This window comes from Homo sapiens, chromosome 16, assembly GCF_000001405.40.
Source record: "Homo sapiens chromosome 16, GRCh38.p14 Primary Assembly".
NCBI classification, from domain to species: domain Eukaryota; kingdom Metazoa; phylum Chordata; class Mammalia; order Primates; family Hominidae; genus Homo; species Homo sapiens.
The window spans coordinates 28838782-28842410 of NC_000016.10; the positions used below are offsets into that span (position 1 = coordinate 28838782).

General features: G+C 48.4%; 1 annotated feature.

Moving 5' to 3' along the window:
* Nucleotides 3062-3219: a silencer, noted in NCBI's record as "fragment chr16:28853164-28853321 (GRCh37/hg19 assembly coordinates)". NCBI's record gives its function as "represses an EF-1alpha promoter that drives an FKBP-Casp9 reporter gene in an ReSE screen in K562 erythroleukemia cells {active_cell/tissue: K562}" and the evidence as "EXISTENCE:reporter gene assay evidence [ECO:0000049][PMID:32094911]".

Consider the following 3629-nt stretch of genomic DNA (forward strand, 5'->3'; position numbering starts at 1 on the left):
TTTTTTTTTAAGAGACAGAGTCCCATTATGTTGGCCAGGCTGGTCTTGAACTCCTGGGCTCAAGCAGTTCTGCCTTGGCCTCCCAAAGTGCTGGGGATTACAGGTGTGAGCCACCACACCCAGCTGAGTAGTCATTTTGATGCTTTCTGGAAGGACTGCAGATTGTACAGCAGTCCGCCCGCATCTGGGGGGGATGTGATCTGAGATCCCCAGTGGATGCCCATAGTACCAAACCTTATGTATACTATGTTTTTTCCTATAGCTATGATGAGGTTTAGTTTCTAAATTAGGCACAATACTCTTGTGCTTCGGGGCCATCACTGAGTAAATCAGGGCTACTTGAACACAATCATTGGAGTGCTGTAACGGTCAATCTGATAACCAGCACGGCTACTAAAGTGACTAACAGGCAAAGGGATGGTTCACGTCCTGACAGGATGGATGGAGCAGGATGGCAAAAGATTTCATCATACTACTCAGAATGGTGCTCAACTTAAAATCTGAACTGTTAAATAGAAAATTCTAGGCCAGGTGCGGTGGCTCACACCTGTAATCCTAGCACTTTGGGAGGCTGAGGTGGGTGGATCATGAGGTCAAGAGATCGACACCATCCTGGCCAACATGGTGAAACCCTGCCTACTAAAAATACAAAAATTAGCTGGGCATAGTGGCGCATCCCTGTCGGCCCAGCTACTTGGGAGGCTGAGACAGGAGAATGGCTTGAGCCCGGGAGGTGGAGGTTGCAGTGAGCAGAGATCGTGCCACTGCACTCTGGCCTGGCGACAGAGCGAGACTCTGTCTCAGGAAAAAAAAAAAAAAAAAAAGAAAATTCCAGCTGGGTGCGGTGGTTCACGCCTGTAATCCCATACTTTGGGAGGCCGAGGAAGGTGGATTATTTGAGGTCGGGAGTTCGAGATCAGGTTGGCCAACATGGTGAGATGCCATCTCTACTAAAAATACAAGTTAGCCAGGTGTGGTGGTGGGTGCCTGTAATCCCAGCTACTTGAAGGCTGAGGCAGGAGAATCACTTGAACCCGGGATGCAGAGGTTGCAGTGGGCCGAGATCGTGCCACGGTACTCCAGCCTGGGTGACAGACACTGTCTCAAAAAAAAAAAAAAAAAAATTCCAGAAATAATCAGACCAGTGTTGACAGTGGATAACTGAAACCAGGGATAAGGGCAGAGACTACTGTATGTTTACCATCTTTGAGCAGAAATCTCAAAGTTGGAAGGGAACTTAGCCTTCAGCCAGCCAGAAATTCCTCTTGGCAGCCCGTCAGCCTTGCCTTGAGCACTGAGGAGAAGACAAATCTGCCCTGTCATTGGACTTCTTTTTGCAAAGTTCTTCCCTCTTCCTCTTCTCTCACCCACTTCCCTTAGTTTGCCTCTGTTCTGGAGTCAAAAATCAGGTTTTGCATTTTCTCAAAACAGCTCTTAAGTTGGGCCCAAGAGCCCTCCCTTCTGGGAGCTCATCTTAGCCATCCTGGGTGTGTATTCATTTGTCAGGATGCATTTGTGATAGGGGTGCCTGTTAACCTCTGCCGAGCCTTGCTTTGCTTGGTGTCGGCATCCTTGCCAGTCATCACTCCCAAGTTTTTGAAATTCACTCATAGTTTATTCCCTGCATATTAGAGAAGTGGCCTTTTTCTTTCTTTTTTTAAATTTATTTTTTCTTTCCTTTTTTTTTTTTTTTTTTTTGAGAAGGAGTCTCACTGTGTTGCCCAGGCTGGAGTGCATTGGCGCAATCTCGGCTCACTGCAACCTCCGCCTCCCTGGTTCAAGTGATTCTCCTGCCTCAGCCTCCCAAGTAGCTGGGATTACAGGTGCCTGCCACCACGCCCGGCTAATTTTATTTTTAGTAGAGACGGGGTTTCACCATCTTGGCCAGGCTGGTCTTGAACTCTGACCTCATGATCCACCCGCCTCGGCCTCCCGAAATGCTGGGATTACAGGCGTGAGCCACCGCGCCTGGCTATTTTTTCTTTTTTATATAGAAACAGAGTCTCCCTATGTTGCTCAGGCTGCTCTGGAACTCCTGGGCTCAAGGGATCCGCCTGCCTCGGCCTCCCAAAGTGCTGGGATTACAGGCATGAGCCACCACGACCGGCCTTTTTCTTTTCTTTTGAGACAGAGTCTCACTCTGTCGCCCAGGCTGGAGTGCAGTGGCGCAATCTCGGCTCACTGCATCCTCTGCCTCTCGGGTTCAAGTGATTCTTGTGCCTCAGCCTCCTGAGTAGCTGAGACTACAAGCGCAAGCCACCATGCCTGGCTAATTTTTTTTTTTGAGACGGAGTCTTACTCTGTTGCCCAGTCTGGAGTGCAATGGTGTGATCTTGGCTCACTGCAACCTCTGCCTCCCAGGTTCAAGCGATTCTCCTGCCTCAGCCTCCCAAGTAGCTGGAATTACAGGCGCCTGCCACTACGCCTGGCTAATTTTTGTATTTTTAGTAGAGACGGGGTTTCATCATAATGGCCAGGCTGGTCTCGAACTCCTGACCTCAGGTGATCTGCCTGCCTTGGCCTCCCAAAGTGCTGGGATTACAGGCGTGAGCCACCGTGCCTGGCCTCGGCTCAAGTATTTTTAAATCAAGTTTTCTTAGACATTACACACTTAATAAGTTGACCCTTAAGTGATTGGGGTTCAAACTGCACAGATCCACTTACATGTGAATTTTTTCAAATACAAGTTACACCGAGTCTGCCTGTCTCCCCTTTGGCCTCCTCCTAAGAAACGTGAAGACAATGAGGGCCTTTATGATGATCCACTTCCACTTGATAGTGAATATATTTTCCTTATGATTTTCTTAACACCTTCTCTAGTTTTATTGTTTTTTTGTTTTTTTTTGAGATAGAGTCTCGCTCTGTCACCCAGGCTGGAGTGCAGTGGCGCGATCTCAGCTCACCGCAACCTCCGCCTCCTGGATTCAAGCAATTCTCCTGCCTCAGCCTCCTGAGTAGCTGGAATTACAGGCATGTGCCACCACACCCGGCTAATTTTTTTGTATTTTTAGTAGAGACAGGGTTTCACCATGTTGGCCAGGCTGGTCTCGAACTCCTGACCTTGTGATCCACCCACCTCAATCTCCCAAAGTGCTGGGATTACAGGCGTGAGCCACCGCGCCCGGCCACTCTCTAGTTTTAAGAATACAGTATATAATACATATAACACACAAAGTATGTGTTTGTATGCTATCAGCGAGGCTTCTGGCCAGCAGCAGGTTACTAGTTACATTTTGGGGGAGTCAAGTTATATGTGAGGAGCCAGACACGGTAGCTTACACCTCTAATCCCAGCAGTTGGGGAGACCAAGGTTGAGCCCAGGAGTCCAAGGCTGCAGTGAGCTAGGATGGTGCCACCGCACCCAGCCTGGGTGACAGTGAGACCCTATATCTCTTTTTTTCCCTTTGTTCAGCCTCCCCATAGAGACCGTCGAAAATTGCCAATGCTGATTATATTTCAAGTCATCATGGAGTCATTGGCTATGATACTGCCACTGCACAAAGCTGGCCCCATCTCAAAAACAAGTTATATGTGGATTTGTGGCTGCATGGAGGAGGGCTGACACCCCTAACCCCTGCATTGTTCAAGGGTCAACTATAATATAAACATAACTTCACTGAGAAATCAAA